This window comes from Homo sapiens, chromosome X (genome assembly GCF_000001405.40).
Source record: "Homo sapiens chromosome X, GRCh38.p14 Primary Assembly".
Taxonomy (NCBI): domain Eukaryota; kingdom Metazoa; phylum Chordata; class Mammalia; order Primates; family Hominidae; genus Homo; species Homo sapiens.
Genome location: NC_000023.11, coordinates 41,138,960 through 41,157,598, shown reverse-complemented (window position 1 = coordinate 41,157,598; position 18,639 = coordinate 41,138,960). Strand labels below are relative to the sequence as shown.

The 18,639-nt window shown below is 35.6% G+C and overlaps 1 protein-coding gene across 8 annotated transcripts in view; it reads right to left on the bottom strand.

Annotated features, from left to right (window-relative positions):
* The window catches only part of USP9X (ubiquitin specific peptidase 9 X-linked), a 151,135-nt gene that overhangs the window by 78,981 nt on the left and 53,515 nt on the right, over nt 1-18,639 (bottom strand). For 4 of the 8 annotated variants that reach the window (NM_001410748.1, NM_001410749.1, XM_005272675.5 and 1 more), the window contains 8 exons: nt 16,828-16,943; nt 16,382-16,633; nt 16,168-16,306; nt 14,156-14,308; nt 12,973-13,077; nt 9,024-9,230; nt 6,542-6,678; nt 4,518-4,666 (listed from right to left, as the gene is read on the bottom strand). In NM_001410748.1, coding sequence (NP_001397677.1) covers nt 4,518-4,666; nt 6,542-6,678; nt 9,024-9,230; nt 12,973-13,077; nt 14,156-14,308; nt 16,168-16,306; nt 16,382-16,633; nt 16,828-16,943 — 1,258 coding nt within the window. The remainder of the gene's footprint in view (nt 1-4,517; nt 4,667-6,541; nt 6,679-9,023; nt 9,231-12,972; nt 13,078-14,155; nt 14,309-16,167; nt 16,307-16,381; nt 16,634-16,827; nt 16,944-18,639) is intronic. The other 4 variants (XM_047442548.1, XM_047442550.1, NM_001039590.3 and 1 more) reach the window with 1 other exon arrangement.

Genomic DNA, 18,639 nt, shown 5'->3' with positions numbered 1-18,639 from the left:
ATGGGAAATAAGGGCTATGGCTATGGGATATAGTGACTGGGAAATAGACTTCATAGTCTATTTCCCTCACAGTGCACAGCTTCCGACAGCTCTGCCCCCATGTTTTCCTCCTTCTTTTAATCCTTTAGCCTGCCTACCTAGGAGTTGCCCCTGCATCAGTATAAGCCCCTTATTGGCCAAACGCTGTGTTTAAGCCTCCTTGACTAGTAGATTTTTACCCTTTACCACTGCATGTCTGTGTGGCTTGGAGGCTGCTATCACACCACTCAGAAAGTTTATGTTTTTGTCCTATGCTCATTCGGAGACTAGCAGCTTGCTTGTTCCCTTCTCAATCACTCCAGCAAGGATGCAGCAAGTCTTCCAGACTGCCAGGGATACATGTAATTTTCATGTCTGGCTTCCTAAGAGTTGCCCCTGAGTCGGGGTAGCTTATTATTCACCCAATGCTTTGTTTGGTCAGAGCTGTATTTAAGTCCACTGTACTGGTGAGGCTTTCACCCTTTGCTGACGGATTGACATGAAGCTTGGGGAATGTTTTCAATTTGTCCCGTGTCCAGTTCTGATTGTTTCTGCTTAGGTGAAGCCTAATGCATACACGTAGCATTCCTGACCCCCAGGGTTGACTGTGATCACAAGAGAGCTTGTCTTGGCCATCTCTTTATCTAGATCTTTCTGTTAAATTTCTGGTTGCTCATCCTGTGACTTGCTGATACCAGTATAAGGGAGCCACAAGCACTCTCCTAATTCTTCATCACCCAAATCTCCATTTGTGATAATACCCTTAGGCACAGCACGGTCTGGTCCAAAGAAAGTTGGTCCCTTCAAGCACAACTGCTGAGCACAGCATCCTCACACCTTCTCTCTCCATCTGGACAGAACATCTATGTTACTGTTCAGGAGATAGAGGGAGGACAGCAGCTAACTTCTCCCAAAATTATATCCCTGCCTTAAGAGCAGGTGCTGGTGTTGGGTGTGTGGGATCAAACTCTGATTTTTTCAGATTGCACTCCCTGACATATAATGTCCACCCTGTGAGCAAGCCAGGTTGGGGATAATCAGAGCCCAATATTCTCAGCCTGCCATGCCTTAAGTAAAGCATTTATCCTACAAGCAGGCACTGAATGGGGTAAGGGAGTCTCAGTTTTCTTGGACATGACTGCCTGGAACAGAGCTTCTGCCACATACGACTGAAAAGGATCAGAAATGCCAGTAGCCCACACCACCTCATGTGGTCAAACTACAGCCCTAGACTGGCAGCCTCAGGGAAGGAGCCCCTGCTTCTTAGTCACACCTGCCTGGAGTAGAGTTTCCACACAAGAAAGCTGGATCTGAACATGGGAGAACAGAACAAGCTGTGGCTCAAATGCTACAGACTCTTGCTGTTTTGCAGATTTAATAGATTTTCTTGAGTGTTTTCCCATTTGCTATACTCCCTCTTAGGACAATTTTCAGGTACTCTAAATGACTATTGTTTATATTTTTCTCCGGTTAAATGGTTGTTTTGTTAAGGTCTGCTGAACATTTTATTCTGCCATTCCAGACGTGAAAATCCTCACCCCCTTGGGTTTATTTTCATCATATACTCTTCATTTGTTAGTTGGCATTTTTGTCTACATGAGTATTTTCATATTTTATTTTCATTACTAATTTTGACCTAATTATGGCCAGTGAAAGCCAACTCCTGTGTCCTTTTGACATGTCAACATGATCGTTGAGCACTTTCTTACTTTCTGGAATAGGATGGTCAAGGATCATGTGGTACTTTCCCTGTTCCACGCCTGGAAACAGCCGTTTCTCCAAGAAGGTACAAATTGTTCACAAAATGGATAGTATGTAATTATTTTTAAACCACAGAGAAGTCACACAGACTTAATAGTACTTCATAGTTGATGTAAGGAATGAGTCCTGAGAAAATCTAGCACAGGATCTGCACCCTAACATAGCACTGTTGGTGAATGACACTCATAAAGCAATCTTTTTGTGTGGAAAACGTTCCTAAAAACTGTTACTGTTGGATGGAAAAGACCGGGAAGAAGTAACAGAAGGTAGCATCCTAAGTAAACAGAGTGGAAAAATCTGACCTACAGTGAAGTTGGGTCATCCAACTCTATCCAGAAACAAGAAAAAATGGTAAATTAAACTTTCGGTAAGTATTGAAGTCAGTAGAATGACTATTCTACCAATGAGTTAAAACTTGAGTGAAAACTAAAAGGTGGTTTATACTTCATTGTATGCATATGAAAAACTTTTAAAGAATAATTTAAGTACCAGTGTATGAAAACACTTGTAGTGAGAACATGAGTAAATACTGTAGAGAATTTTACTAAGTTCATTCTTTTATCTAAATAATGTTTATAGGAGGTAAAATCAGCTGATCATGCTTACTGAGGAAATGTTTTTCCCCCAAAAGCTAAAGATGCTAGTGAAGATAAAATACAGGCAGCACAAACCATTGGTAAAATGGTTATCAGAAATTGAGAATATCAGTAAACTGTGAAAGCCTGATGTTATCATGCCAAGTAACCTAATGCCTCATAGCTAATGGGATTTGTCTATCACTTTTATTATAGAGGCAAAAACCATAATTAACTTTAGAATTGCAAATTTAGAAATGTTAGTGGATGTTACCACAGAAGTGATTTAACGTTGTAAAAAGTTTAATAGAAGAATTTTACTGGTTTTAAAAATTATTTGCCCCCACCCCCATATTTAACTATCTCCAGACTCATCAGTATTAATCAAGAGTAGTGTAATAAATTGGAAGAAGAAAAGGTACCAAGGTTAGGAGGAAAAAAAGGTATGATGTTAAAATTCAGAGGGGAATTTACTATGTGCCAGACATTATTCTAGCATAAATAACCTGCCCACAGTCATACAGCTAATATGTTTGGGTCATGTTTCAGACCTAGGCAACTATGCAGACTCACATCTCTCAGTTTGCAGATATACAGACAACATAAGGAGGAAAAACTGAAGAATGTAATCATTCCTGTGATAACGAAGTTGAGATGAGGCGGTAACTCAAGTAGAATTGTACTAAAATGTAGCAGAAAAAACCCTAGTGAGACAGCCGGGTTCCTGACCTCTGACAATGAAATTAAACACCACATGCAAATGAAGTAAATAAAAATTAGCATTAAAGCACGTATGAATTATATGTCTCCACTCTGGGGGAAGGCCCTCCTTGGCAACCATGAGGGCTGTGTACCACCAGGAAGAGATTATAATCATAATATACTAAACCCAAATGCTTGGGTATACTACACATAAACCTCTTTTTTATGTCACTGATTTTGAGTACCTTTGGTATAGAACATAAATCACATGGTTGTATTGCCTTGATCATTCTATTACACTGCTTAGAAGGAACCTAAGACTAAAATGCTAAGATCACTGTCTGTTCCTCATCAGCTGCCTAACATTTAGATTGCTTGTCTAGCTCTAACAATCTATTGGCCCCGAGGGGATAAATGGAAGAATAAAGAGTCAACACTATCACTGGGAGTATCAGAAGAGTTACTTAATTTTTATGTTTATCTGAATTTCATTGGGAAATGTACATAAGTATTAAGCAAAAATCTGGTAATTCTTAAGCACGAGGGGATTTTATTCAATAATGTCAAAAGCCTACTCCTCAAATAATGAGTATTATAAATATTCTCATTTTTAACATACACTATGGGCTTCTGCAGATCCTACATAACATGTTAAATGAATGGTAAGTTGAGTAATCAGTATGTTTAACTCTATAACTAACATTCGTAATACAGTATTTTCTTACATACTGCTCGGGAAACAAACTTGAAACAACAAAGTATCAGTGGGGAAAGGGGTATGAATTTGTCATAAGACAGAAGAGGAACAGTATATACTGAGAAGCCATCCCTACTCTTGCACACACAGACTGACATAACTGTCAAAGGGCAAAAGAGCACTGACACAGGGCTCCACACATGGCAGGCTAAGACTTACAATCAGGATCTGTTGAAATCACAGGAAACTTTATCCTAAACATGTTCAAACAATTTCACACTTTGAATGCCAATGTAAACATCTAGATTCTTACAGCCAGCCTCTCATCTCTACTCTTATGTTTTTTAAATTCATGGAGTCTTGAAGCACTTACAAAACATAGGCTTGGCATTATAAAAGAACTATAAAGTAAGAACAGACTTAGACAAAACAAGTTTCCTTTTAAAAAGCTAAAGGTGGTGGTAAAGGACATAAAGGTTGAAAATGAGCCAAGTACATTCCTAAGAAGGTAGCGATCAATCGTAAAAAAGGCAGGCAGAGCTCCCAAAGCAGAGAACAAAAATCTATTTAACAAAGAGAATGGGGGAAGGCAAGCACTTAGTGAAGACTCTTAAACTGCTGGCCTAGAGTTTAGGATGTCTAAGAGTTGGGAGTAATAGTGGATCTTAAATCCATAAAGGAACATGATTTACATTTCTAAGGTAATTAATGCAAAAAAAGGTCCCTGCTATTTCCCATAGTTTATTTTAGCTTACAATACATACCTCTAGCATATAGTCTCATGCTTTCCATGTAAGTTGCAAGGTTTTCTGCTACCAAAGTAACTAGGGCATGATTGTGTTGAAGTTGATTGATTAAGTCATGGCGATAAAACACATGGGGACTTCGCTGAGTTTGACTGAAACGAGAAGAACTTAACAATATAATTAGGCAATTAAACTCTGTTGTAACCAGAAGAGTTCGTACTATCTAAATTCTTAGCTACTGATGTAAAAACTTAAAAATTATACTTTTGTACATTTACTTCTTTTAATGAAAATATCACAACCAACTTAAACTCTTCAAAAGATAAGACATTTATTACATTATTATTTTACACAAAAAGCATCCATCACTATTCTCCAACTTCACCAAATGGGAGTATACCTCAATGACTAATGTCTATACTATAACTGTACCAAAGCACTTATGTTATGTAATTATTCCCAAAATTATAAAATAGAAACATTTTTTGCAAGACTAGCATCACAAAGATTATGCTACAGTTGTAAGGAAGAATTCAATCAAAGAAAATGCTCTTAGCATTTTCTTCTTATTAGCTATTTAAGAAAACATCCTGGGACACTCTGTTTGTAGCCAAGTTTGCCCACAGGTGTCACCACAAAGACTCATCTGTTTTGCTATCTTCATTGAAACCCTAATCTGTTTTGCTACCTTCACTGAAACCAATCAACTTTCACATCCACTACTACTATTTTAGGGGAGACAAGGCCACTGTTCTTGGGAGAGTATGTGAACTACTGTGTCTACTTCGAAAGATAAATGCATTCATTTGAGAAAGGCCGAAATATGTACGATGAGCCAAACATACTCAAAATATGCTCCTCAAATATTATTGTTAACGAGATATATGTCTCAATTTCTTACAGTGTTTATCTCTATAGCTTTTCCAATTTGCTAATTTTTTCTAGCCTTAGGGAAAAAAGTGAGACAAAGTTCAACTGTTTAAATAAAGACATATACATGACCTTTTCTATTTCTGTCTGAGGTATAATCATAGTAATCTAGAGCTGTAAAGGATCCTGGCAATCATTTAATCTTACATATAAAGAAAACATGTTTTTTGGTTTTGTTTTGTTTTTGTTTTGAGACAGTCTCACTCTGTTGCTCAAGCTGGAATGCAGTGCTGCAATCTCAGCTCACCGCAACCTCTGCCTCCCGGGCTCAAGCGATTCTAGTGCCTCAGCTTCCCGAGTAACTGGGACTACAGGCGCATGCCACCACGCCCGGCTAATTTTTGTATTTTCAGTAGAGACGGGGTTTCGCCATGTTGGCCAGGCTGGTCTCGAACTCCTGGCCTCAGGTGATCCGCCCTCCTCGGCCTCCCAAAGTTCTGGGATTATAGGCGTGAGCCACCGCACCAGGCCAAACATGATTCTTTACAGAATTTTTACAAGATTAAATTACTGGTTTGACACAAGATTCACACCTAGGAATCCTGACTCCACTGTGAATATTCCTTCTACTGCACCCTGCTCTCTTTCTCTTCACATTATTTTTCCTTTTCATGTTATCAGTTCCAACTGTATTACCAGAAAATAGGACAAATTATTTCAGTAACCAGAATATGACACCTAAGATAGTATAAAGACAGCTATTAAAAAGAAATTTAGCTAAAATAAATGTTTAAAAATTATGAAACTTTATCTTGTCATGTTTCATCAATTTAAATGTTCTTGTGGTCTAATCCATCTTTAAAGACATGCTATGAAACTTCTTGGCATACTTGCTGGAAATATAGTATGTATATAATAATAATTCTGAACCAAGAACCCAAAGGCAATATTACCTTGATTCTGATTTATCACTTAACTGTGGCTTACTTCCTCATTAATAAAAAAAAAGGAGGTAGATGTAATAAAGAATTCTTTTGTTCCAAACACTTCTTATATAGCCTCTTCTCACTCCACTAATTTAAAAATTTGCATTTGCCAGCCAATATGCTGTTTCTTTTCAATAAAGTACATAAATTTTAAGTATTGAAATTTTCTATGTTAAAAAGTCTTACCTCAAATTTTGAGGCGCTTCACCAAACAAACTACAAATTTCTCTAATTTGTTTCAGTGCGGGAATAACCCATTTGTCATTTGTGCGAAGTTCTTCTATAAAGCGATCTATCCATTGGATCTTTTGTGTATCACGGTCCTTAAACAAATGATTTCAATGTTTTAAATAGATCAATACTCAGGAGAATTTTATTTTCAAATTATTTTGAGAATTATAAAATAAAAGCTTTTCTTTTAAGATTAGCAATACAAGCATCATGTTGTAATTACAGTAAAGAGTTTAATTTAAATAATAAAAGCTTTAAGTTTGTTTTTATTTCACACTTACTACCAGAACTCCAAAAAGCCCAGCACTGTTATAAAAGCTTTGTATTATATGGACTGAAATATATCTGTACACACTACAGATCCTAAGTATTAGGCACACTGACAGAAAGTTTCATTTTCCAAGTTTGCCAGAGGGTAGGTATTTAGCCAGTATTTTAAGAGATTCTACCGTATCATAAAATCCAGAATTAATATATAACAAGACCCTGACTTACTCTAAATGGGCCATCTTTTAGTACAGTGAAGAACACAAAAAATGTATATTTGACTAAGAAAATAAATAGAATGACAACTACATTTAAAAATAATCGCCAAAATCAAAATAAAGAAACACACGTACAAGGAGAGAAAAAGGACAGAGGCAGATATAAACTTAAAAATTAAAAATGTTATAAACTCAAAATTATTTCAATTATGGTATTTTACTTCTCAAACCTCAGTTACTTCACCTCTTCCCCTAAAGTCAATAGTAATCAGAACTGCAAGTTTGTGTGCCTAACAATTTCGTAAGCTCGGATTGTTTTACTTTTGCGTACAGGGAAAGGAAAACAATTTTGTGGAGTTTTTTGTTTTTTTTTTTTCCTGAAACCCCTCAAGTTTGGGGTTATTTTGTAATACACAGATATTCCTTTTTCGGCAGCAAAATTAGAATCATACTCTTAAGTGATATTAATCCTTTTAATGGCGCCATAATCGAACCTTGTATAAACTATTAGTAATTATTCACAGCTGGGAGCTGTGGCTCATGCCTGTAATCCCACCACTTTGGGAGGCCGAGGCGGGTGGATCACTTGAGGTCAGGAGTTCGAGACCAGCCTGGCCAACATGGTGAAACCCAGTCTCTACTAAAAGTACAAAACAATTAGCTGGGTGTGGTGGCACGTGTCTGTAATCCCAGCTACTGGGGAGGCCGAGGCAGGAGAATCGCTTGAACCTGGGAGGCGGAGGTTGCAGTGAGCCGAGATTGCGCCACTGTACTCCAGCCTGGGCGACAGAACAAGACTCCGTCTCAAAAAAAAAAAGTAATTATTCAGGAGGCTTCCACATGTTCATGTCCATAAACACTAATGAATGTCCTTGTGGGTACCTCTTTGTATCCTTTTTCACTATTTCCGAGAAGAAATTTCTCTAAGTAGAATTGTTGGGTTTAATAGTGTGTACATTTTTAAGGCCATGAAAACATTTATGATCAAATGTACACTTTGACAACAGTTTTGGCAAGCAGAAGGGAAAAGGTGACAGTTGGAAAATGACTTTTAAAAATTTTTTCCCAAACAATAAATGAAAGTTGAAGTTGAAAAAAGGCAACAGTCTACTAAATTCAGTGAAACTCAGTAACTATTCATGAATGAATGTGTACATCACTATGCCAGGCACTGATACTAATAGATATTTAAAAAAGAAGTTACTAGTTAAAAGCCCTGATAGCAAATGTACTGCTCTGATTTCAAGACTCCTCAGAAGGACCCTTGGTTTAATGAAATAATTTATACTCAAGGCCCTTATTACTATTTAATTTGCTGAATAAATACTTACCGAACTGTCACAAGTAAACATAGTCAAAACCTGAGTAGTATCTACATTAATACACCTTCCTGAGCTTTTCTTGGCTCTTACCTAAATACCAGTTCATCAGTGTAACAAATAGTTTTATTAACATGTGAGAAATTACTCAGCAATGTTCACTTTACCATGTGTTAAAAAATACACATGCCACAAATTAGAATGTAGGGAAACTGTGTGATTTGCTCACTGTGGAGGCACTAAATGTTTTAATGGTTAGGAAATTCTATTAATTTTTCTTAACTTCCCTATGAGCAAAGAAAACCTAATTTCTCTTCCCTCTGAAGTCCCTATCAGCTTTAACATTCGAATTCTATTCGAAACGGCATTTCAGAACCATACACTTGATAATGCCACCACTGTATAATCTGTTCTGTTTATACTTTCTCCCAAGGAGACTAAAATGCTTTTCAGATGAGTCACAAAACCTTGATGTACAGATCCTAAGGAAAGCAGACTAATGAACAAAAAAAGTCAACTCCGGAAGATCATTTAAAAACTAACAATGTCAGAGTAACAGAACTATCCTGTAACTAAGCCAACCTAACTGAAGGGGAAAAGTCACAAAAAGTGAGCAAAGCAGTACACTCTTACCTGGGAGCAACTGTAATCTAGTATTTTTATGTGGGCACTGAGAGCCAGGTCCATGATATCTACAGGCACATCATCACTGTGAGCCAGATTCCACAGAAGGTTCAACACTTTGTGTGCCATCACACCATCTTTATCATCTTCTGCAAGACGACGTATCAGCTCAAGTAGCTTTTCACGTTGCTTTTTACTCGCATTTGTCCAACTGGCCTAGAAAAAAATTAAGTGACATGAAAACAACACATATTTAGTCACCACTTCATAAATTGTCACCAGGTTAACTATATTCAAATTCATCAAAAGCAACGTAGCTAAGCACAGAATGATTCAAGTGAGATCTGAAAATATAGTTAGCCTGGTATTTTTTTTATAGGGTAGAGTTAAATTCCAAAAAAGAAAAATAAATGATACACTATTTCAATTTAGAAGACACCCAATTAAAAACTCTAAAATACATTTTTTTAAAACCTCTAAAATGGTATTGTAATACAACATGGTTATCATGCTTGGGGAAGGGCAGGGTACTAATGGCATTTAGTGAGTAGAGACCAGGGATGCTGCTAAGCAATATGGGAAAAGTTTTATGAGTAAAGTTACTGCTATGGTTCGAATGTCCCCCCCAAAACTCACGGTTAAGCTGGCACCATGCCTCTTGTACTTCCCAACCTCCAGAATCATAAGCCAAATAAAATTCTGTTCTTTATAAATTACCCAGTCTGTGGTGTTCTGTTATAGCAGCAGCAAATGCACTAAGTTGCTGATCAGTGTTTATTAGAAAATAAACTGAAACGAACTTAACGTCAAACAGCAGAAGAACGATTAAGCTGACCGGGCACGGTGGCTCACGCCTATAATCCCAGCACTTTGGGAGACCCAGGCAGGTAGATTACCTGAGGTCGGGAGTTCAAGATCAGCCTGGCTAACATGGTGAAACCCCATCTCTACTAAATATACAAAATTAGCTGGGCGTGGTGGCGCATGCCTGTAATCCCAGCTACTTGGGAGGCTGAGGCAGGAGAATTGCTTGAATCCAGGAAGTGGAGGATGCAGTGAGCTGGGATCGCGCCACTGCACTCCAGTCTGGGTGACAGAGTGAGACTCTGTCTCCAAAAAAAAAAAAAAAAAAAACAACGATTAAGTTAATGAGAGAAGATTAGTTCAATGGAATTATTAATATGGTACGTCTTCAAAGATGATGTGAATGCCTGTTTTTATTTCCTTCCAGCCTACACAAAATAACAAAAGGAATATGACAACTGCTAAAAATGTAAGACTAAAATATCAGATTACAATTAAAAACCTCTAGCTAACATTATAAAAAGAGAGACAACTAGGTATTCCTCCTCAAGGAAAAGCACACCACCACTTGAGATATGCTCTAGTAAAATTAAAAAAAAAAAAAACCTTCTGTATCAAAACTATTGACAGACACCAAGGCAACAAACAATCCAGTTTCTTCAACAAATAAATTGCAAGGGAAGTAAAAAAGAAGAAAGCTAGTTTCAAAGAGACTTAAAAGACATACACATGGACTGCACCAGGATCCTGATTAAAACTCACTTCTAAAATGAAGATGTATGATCTAAGACAACTGGAAGTTTTAAAACTATTTTATGATATTAAGGAATTATTGTTTTTTAGGTAGATAATGGTATCGTGAATTTTTTCATGTACTCATCTTTTAGACATACAAACTACATGAAAAGGAGAAATTAAGAACATCTATTCAACCAGTACAACCATTAAGTGAATGAAAAAGATAACCAAATTGGGAGAAATTATTTGTAACTCTTGAACTGACAAAGATTAGCATTCAAAATATATCAAGAACTACAATCCAAAAAATATACAAATAATGCCACGGTGGGGGGAGGGGGGGAACAGGCATTCACCCAAAAAAAAAAAAAAAAAAAAGGCAAATAGCTCAAAAAATATACAGAAAGATACTCAATCTCATTATTGATCAAGGGATATAAAAACTAAAAGCACAAGCACAATGAGGTAACATTTCAAACACCAAGAAGATTGTCAAAAATTCAGAACTCTGACAAGAACAAGTGCTGGCAAAGATATGAAACTTACTTAGAACTCAAATGTTTAAAAACTAGGCTCTAGGCCAAGTACATAAAGCAAAGTCTAACCCAGAAGGTTGGAATCATTTGGTTGCAATCTGCAAAGAACCACAAGGTGACTCAGACTTCATTGCTTCCTTTCAAAATCATCTTTAGCAGAAACTTTCAACACTCCATAAGAATTGCCAGATTTACCAACACCTTGGGAAAAAAGTGCTTGTTACCAAATGACAAGTGCTCAATAAACATATGTTAAGCCAAAGGGGGAAGAACATGAAGAATTATTATTATATTCAGACCATTATTGTATTTAGACTATCCTGAGAAGAGGGGGGATACAGCAGATATAATAACAACCCCTTTTTTTCCTTCTCTCATCAAAGGCATCACTGGTCACGTATCATCATTTCGGAAGTCTTTATCTTTGCAGTGCCCATGATGACCAATTCTATTATTTCCTCAGCTGCCTTTGATATACTTCAATGGATGGAAAAAGTATTTAAGTTTTGCTTTTACATGTATAGAAACAAAATATATAAAAACCACATAAAAGATTCACTCAATAATTTGTTCCCTTCAAAATAAAATTTTCCATAAGGCAGCGATTTTTCCATAAATCAAAGCTTTAATGTCCCTAAGACTTATCTGTGAAACTTGCTTAAAATACAGACTCTTGGGCTTCAGTACCTACTGATCTAACATGTCTGTGATGGAAGCCAGTAAAAATGGTATTTTTTTCTTCTACTGTGAAATATCTAGAAAAGTACAAGCATATACCATTATTACAGTACACAATGTGAACACCTGTGTAACTAGTACCCAGGTAAAAAATAATACACGGCAAGTAACATCCCAGAAACCAGCTGTGCCCATTTCGGAACTTTACATTAATGTAATCAAGGTGTATTAATTACTGTGTGGCTTTATTCCTTTCTTCAACCTTCTGTTTATTAGACTCATCCATATGGTTGAGTTGCTCTTTCATTGCCGTGAAATATTGCACTGTATGAACATTCCATAATTTATCTATTCTATGTTTTATCTATCCTACATAGCAGGTTTTTTCACTATTACAAGTAATTCTGCTAACAAGTGTTGCTGAACACGTATCCTGGTGTACATAAGCATGAGTTTCTCAAGTGTATATTCAGAAGTCAAACTGATGAGTTATGAGAATCTTAAACTTTACCAGAAATACCAAGTATTTTCCAAAGTGGCTATAGCAATTTATGTTCCCACTGGTCAGTATAATTATTATTTTTAACAAGAAACGTTGGTGACCTATTGATCTAATGCCAGTTGTTAACAGAACACCTCTTAGTGCAAACTGCCAAAAAGTTACGTTCTTAATCCACAAATTCACTAACCACTTGAGCTTTCACAAACCTAACCCTGGCAACTAATCAAAGATGTTACAAAACATGGCCTCAAAAACCAACATGATGGCATCAATGCAGATATGACTGTAGGAGGAGTTCTTGGGCTACCTTATCAGTTACATTTTGATTAACTCATATTTTGCTTGTACATATGACCCCAGAATACCAAGATATTGGTATTCTCTTGCTTTCATCTTACTGTTTATTGTAGCCAATCATCCTTCCCTGTAGTCCTACAATTTGCTTGAACCTGTAACTAAAATAGAAACTACCAGGGGAAAGAAAGAAAAAGTGATAGCCTGAGTTTCCATTATGGGGGCTATTAAGAAAATGAACATCAAGTTCTTGTTGGAAAAGAAAACAATGGGCCAATTCCTTCACACCACAGACTGTTTAATGGGATTTCTATTTAAGTATTTATTGGCTAAAAGTAATTCACAGATCTAATTAATCAATTCTATTTGAAATAGAATGGTAATATTTTGCTATGTTAACAATTACCTTAAAACAATCAAAAAGATGATCAAGTTGTTCAGGAGAAAAATCCCATGCCAATTTTGCCAGGAGATCATGTACATTCTTCACAATGGCTTCATGTTTCCCTGCCTATTGAAAAACAAAAACGAAATCACAATGCACAAGAATCTGAGTAATAGATTAAGTAGTGTATACTGCTTGCTGACAATTAATAAAGTACTCCTATCTCCTTCATTTAACTATGTAACACAAGAAAATTCCTAACACAGCCCGCACAGTGGCAAATGCCTATAATCCCACCTACTCGGGAGGCTGAGGCAGGAGAATCACTTGAACCCAGGAGGCCAAGGTTGCAGTGAGCCGGTATCGAGCCACTGTACTCCAGCCTGGGCAACAGAACAAAACTCCATCTCAAAAAAAAAAAAAAAAATTCTAACATTATAAAATGCTTTAGAACTGCCATCTAAAACCTGGCAACTTAATTTCATGATATAATAAATACAGCTAATGTGTATTTTGGCGGTTCATACAAACCTTTAATACAATTTATTTAATTTGACAATTTTAATATTGCAAATACAAAAATAAGGCACACTAACAATATTGTTTCAAAACTGGAACCTTAAGCACTCAAAGGCAAAGCTGTTTTCTTGGTTTTTATAGACTAAAAAAACAAAGCTTTATAATCTACAACTCAATAATGCTTCCCAAGAAATCCACGATTAGAAAACTGTCATTAAGATAATAGAAGGAGTTGTAGTTTCCAACTCAAAAACTAAAAAGGTTACTAATCCTTCTGAAGAGTTATAAATTCTCTGGAATAATTATTACAGGTCTTTATAAATAATCAAGTGAATTAATTCTCCTGACACTGGAGGTTTTTGCTTTCTATTAAATCTATGAAGAAACCAATTACAGATGTCTTTACTCTCTTTCAATAGACATTCCTTATGATTTTACTGTTTGCATCTTTATTTAAAACCACTGACAAATTCTCAACCTTTATCAAATACAGATAAAAGAATATTTTTATTTTTAAAAGATTATTGGTTATTTCAAAAAGATTCCTGGCAGGGTAACAAGCATTTAAACGTTCTCAAAGTCAAACAATACAAGCCTGCATCCATTTCATGACAGCTACTGTATTTCTTCAGTTTTTAGTATCTTTATTTTAAAAACTAAATAGCCATCATCTTAAATTCCTTACCTGTGCTGCCCAGATATTATCAAGATCCTGTAAGGTCAGAGCTTTTTCTTTGATGACAAAACGAAGAATCTTCTCTAACTTTTCTACATACTGTGGCTGATGAAGACTATCTCGCAACACTATGGATAAGATATTGTTCTGCTGTATCCATTCCTAAATGTTAATTCAAAAACGTGTTTGAAAGCAGAAATTAAAACAATTTTTTCTTAATTGCTCACACTATTATTAAATAATATAAGGAAATTCAAAACACATTTACAAAATATAATACTGGTAAAATATACTTATGTGTTGCTTTAATGGAAAATTATGAAATTTTATAACAATTTTGCACATACAGAAATGCTCCCATAAATAATACTGAAATTAAGAAGATTCTACACTCCAGCATTTACTCAGAAAAATATTATTTAAGTACACAATCACCATGGTAGGGTGAGTACAGGACCAATTTTAGGATCTTTGGATTCTTTATCCCAATTTTGCCACAGAATTATGTTTTGACCTTGGGTAAAAAGGCTCTCTATTTTTTACTTTTATTTATTAACAATTATCATGTGCTAGGCACTATTATTGCTTATCCATTATCTCTTTAATTTTCCAAACAATCCTAGTAAGAGATACATTATTCTATTACAAAATGTAAACAGGCTCACAGATGCTAGAATTGGAATATGAATCAAGTCATATGCTTCCACAGTCTGTTTTTCTGTAACACTGTGCTAGCTTGCTCAACTAGCATTCATTTAATCTATAGCAACAGAATAAAGTGCTAACTCATGATACAAACAGGGAGTAATCCACACTATATGATTTTGCAGTATTTAGCTGAGAATAAAAAGTAGTTAGGCCCAAAATGTGCTAGAGAAGTACATGTCTCAGCTGATAATGAGCCAGTTTTTAATGTCTAATCTGTTGCAGATATTTGTTTTTATGTTATTCTACATATATACACATATGTTTTTAATATGGAGACAGGGTCTCGCTTTGTTGCCCAGGCTGGTCTTAAACTCCTGGCCTCAAGCAATCTCTCCTCGGCCTCCCAAAGTGCTGGGATTACATGCGTGAGCCACTGCAGAGCCACAGATAATTTTGTAAAACACAATAAAAATGTCGCAATGTCAAACTGCAATGAAAGTTTCTAAACACTTAATGCCATTCTCTGTCCTATCTAGGACTGGTTCAAGAACCAGCACCAGTCTTCAGAGCACACTTTGAATAGCTCTGTGCTGGACTTTCCATGAGGCAGATACGTACATCATATGTATGAAACCAGATGTCTACCACCTGACCCCCTAACACAGGGCAATATCTAAGCAGTCTCCACATGCATTTTAACATACTCTAATCACTAACTCCCCTATTAAGTGAGGGCTCCTTGAGGGCAAGGACAGTTCTCCTACAGATGTTTCCCCAGGACTGTTACACATATACATTCAAAAAATATTGGCACTGTAACTTAAATGGCATACTTACTCATTTCAAAACAATATAATACAAAATAGCTATGGTACATAAAGTTTCATAAAATTTCAATGTCAAAATAAGGGCTTTCAAAATAAAATTCTCAAAATCGTGATAAAACAATTTGTATAGATCTTATTCTAGTAATTTTATTTCCTGTTTTAAAACGTTTAACTGTAAATGGTCAAATGAACAATAGGCCACTTTATAAGGTACTAGATACTACCCAATCCATTTTCTAGATCAACTCTACCTACTCCATTTCAACCAACTTCCCACTCTCCAACAAACTAATAATTACTTCAAAACGCCACATTCATCACTAAGTTTATCAAAGATGTTTTAAAGCTACCCATATCACTACCAAATAATAAACTATGTTATTTCAAAAAGTTCTCAGGATTAACAGAGTTATAAATCAATCAAAACACCTCCCAATTTCAGTTTACTTTAAAATGTTACTATTACTAATTTTTTTAGCTAGAGCTATTCTAATTTCTTGTCTTAAGTAGATTCTTATTCCTATGAAGAAGAACTGAAAGACTCACTGCCATTCGTTCAGCTGTGAGCCACTCTTCCTCCTCAGGATTACCATGTCGATGAGTATAGTATGATACACTAGATATCACCTTATTAACTTCATTCAGTGCATTCATCTTTCCATTGAAAGAAGAAATTTGCAATAATCTGTAAGAAAAATTCAGTGATAAGTATGATTCTAAAATCGGCATTAACAATTATTTCAAGAGGTAAGTATCTTACCTAAGTATCATTTTTAACCTAAATATTTCTAAGTTTTTAACAGTTTCTTCTTGTCCTGGAACCCTTGAAGCTAAATTCTTCAAAGATTTAATAATCATTGAAAGAGCATCATTTTTGGCTTCATTCTTTGCTTCTTTTTTCAGTTCTTCATCAGTTAAGTTTTCTAAAAACTGTGGAACCATTTCTATTATTGGAAGAAAGTACTTTTTCACTGTATGAAGAGTGAGAAACTCATAGCATTGCCCAAATGGTCTGAAATAAGAAAGATACAAAACTCCTGTAAATACGCAATTTCTTAAAATCAATTTAGGACTAAATTCTTTATATTACTTTTAAAAAATCCCAGTTATTAGTTGAAGAAACCACACTTGAAAAACTCAATTTTTATGAAGCAAAAACCAGCAATTCTACGGTGCACTAACCATTGATTTTTAAATGTAACTTACTTAATAAGGGCTGCAATTATTTGAACGTTTAATGCTGATCCATTAATAAAACGATCATGCAAAATCTGGAACCCATTTAAAGTGCCAAATTTGTTGAGAAGATCCACTAGCCAACCCTGTAACACAATTAATGAAAAAAGTTAACTTCCTACTTTAAAGGGTAAAAAGCACGAAAAAAAAGCCTTATTGAAATATACTAGAAATAGTAAATTCAATAAAATAAATCATCTTTCAAAGGACCACAAAACATTGCATTTTGTTCATAGTAATTCCATCTGTGAGACAGAAGCAGTATACGTAGTAAGTATAGATTAAATCACTGGGGCATAGTTCTGTCTGTCTGTACCAATGTAAGTGGTGAACAGGAATTAGAAGACATGCTCCTATTTCAGATATCCCACCATATAAGAATGAATACCTTCTAATTACTGTAAAGTCTTTTATATTAAAATAATTTTCAGGAGGCAGAAAGACTTCAAGAGAGTTAAGAAGAAGCTACTTGGTAATGAATTTTGAATCTACTTCTTGTTTAGTTGTAAAACATTAAAATTTCCCTATAAACACAGTAACTAATAGCCTGAGAGTCAATTGTCAATTAAAAACTAAGGTCTGGTACTAGTATCTACTGTTCCTAAGTAGAATATGCTGGTTGATACTTTTGCTTATACAAATTGCACCCAGTTCTCCTTATCTTAGAAGTAACACCATGCAACAGGATGAACTGTCTAAGAAAGAGCTGTAGCTCAAAGTACCATACAGCTGGCACAGACAACAGTTGTGAGGCTAAAAGCCTGTCTGTATGTAAAAACCTAAAATGAATTAAAAGGCTATATAAATATAAGAATCAAATATATGTAGAAATTAATGTACCTAAGAAAACCTTTCACACCTTGCCACCTTCTAAAATTTAGGCCATGTTTTAGAAGCCACTGGAAAACAAGGAGCAAAATACACAATTTCTCTTCTAAGCCTTAAGCAAAAATAATTTCTACAGCTATTTAAAAAAAAAATACAGGAAAAAGTAAAGATGCTAAATGGCTGTATGTTCAATGTTTGTTTAAAGAGAAAATATGATAGCTAATGCTAGTTTTTTCTGTGTGTTTTTTTGTTTTGAGATGGAGTTTTACTCTCGTCGCCCAGAGTGCAATGGTGTGATTATCGGCTCACTGCAACCTCTGCCTCCAGGGTTCAAGCAGGATTCTCCTGCTTCAGCCTCTCAAGTAGCTGTGATTATAGGCACACACCACCACACCCGGCTAATTTTTGTATTTTTAGTAGAGATGGGGTTTCACCATGTTGGCCAAGCTGGTCTTGAACTCCTGACTTCAGGTGATCCACCCGTCTTGGCCTCCCAAAGTGCTAGGATTACAGGCGTGAGCCACCTTGCCTGGCCTACTGCTAGTTTTTATATGGTTTTAAAAGAATATGAATGAACTAAGTTTCTCTAATAAACCCATTAACGTATTTCAATTTAATAGTGTTTTCCTACCTTTTTAGTCATGAAAGGCTAATTCAAAACCATTAAAACTCGAGTACTTAATTCACCAGATCCCTTTTGTCATTCAGCAATTGTAAGAAAGTACATGCTCATTATGTAATATATTTTATTTCTTCAGTAACTATAATGAGACTATTAGATTGATATACTTGATAGTTACATACAATATTTATAAAACAGCAGGTGTGGACACAGTAAAGAATTAGTCTAAAGCTAATCTTTCTGTATTTCTTTGGCTGCAATGTATGCTTAAACAATTGGGAATATTCAGATAAGAGTGCTTCAAACTGAGGCTAATAGGCTAGCTTCAGCAG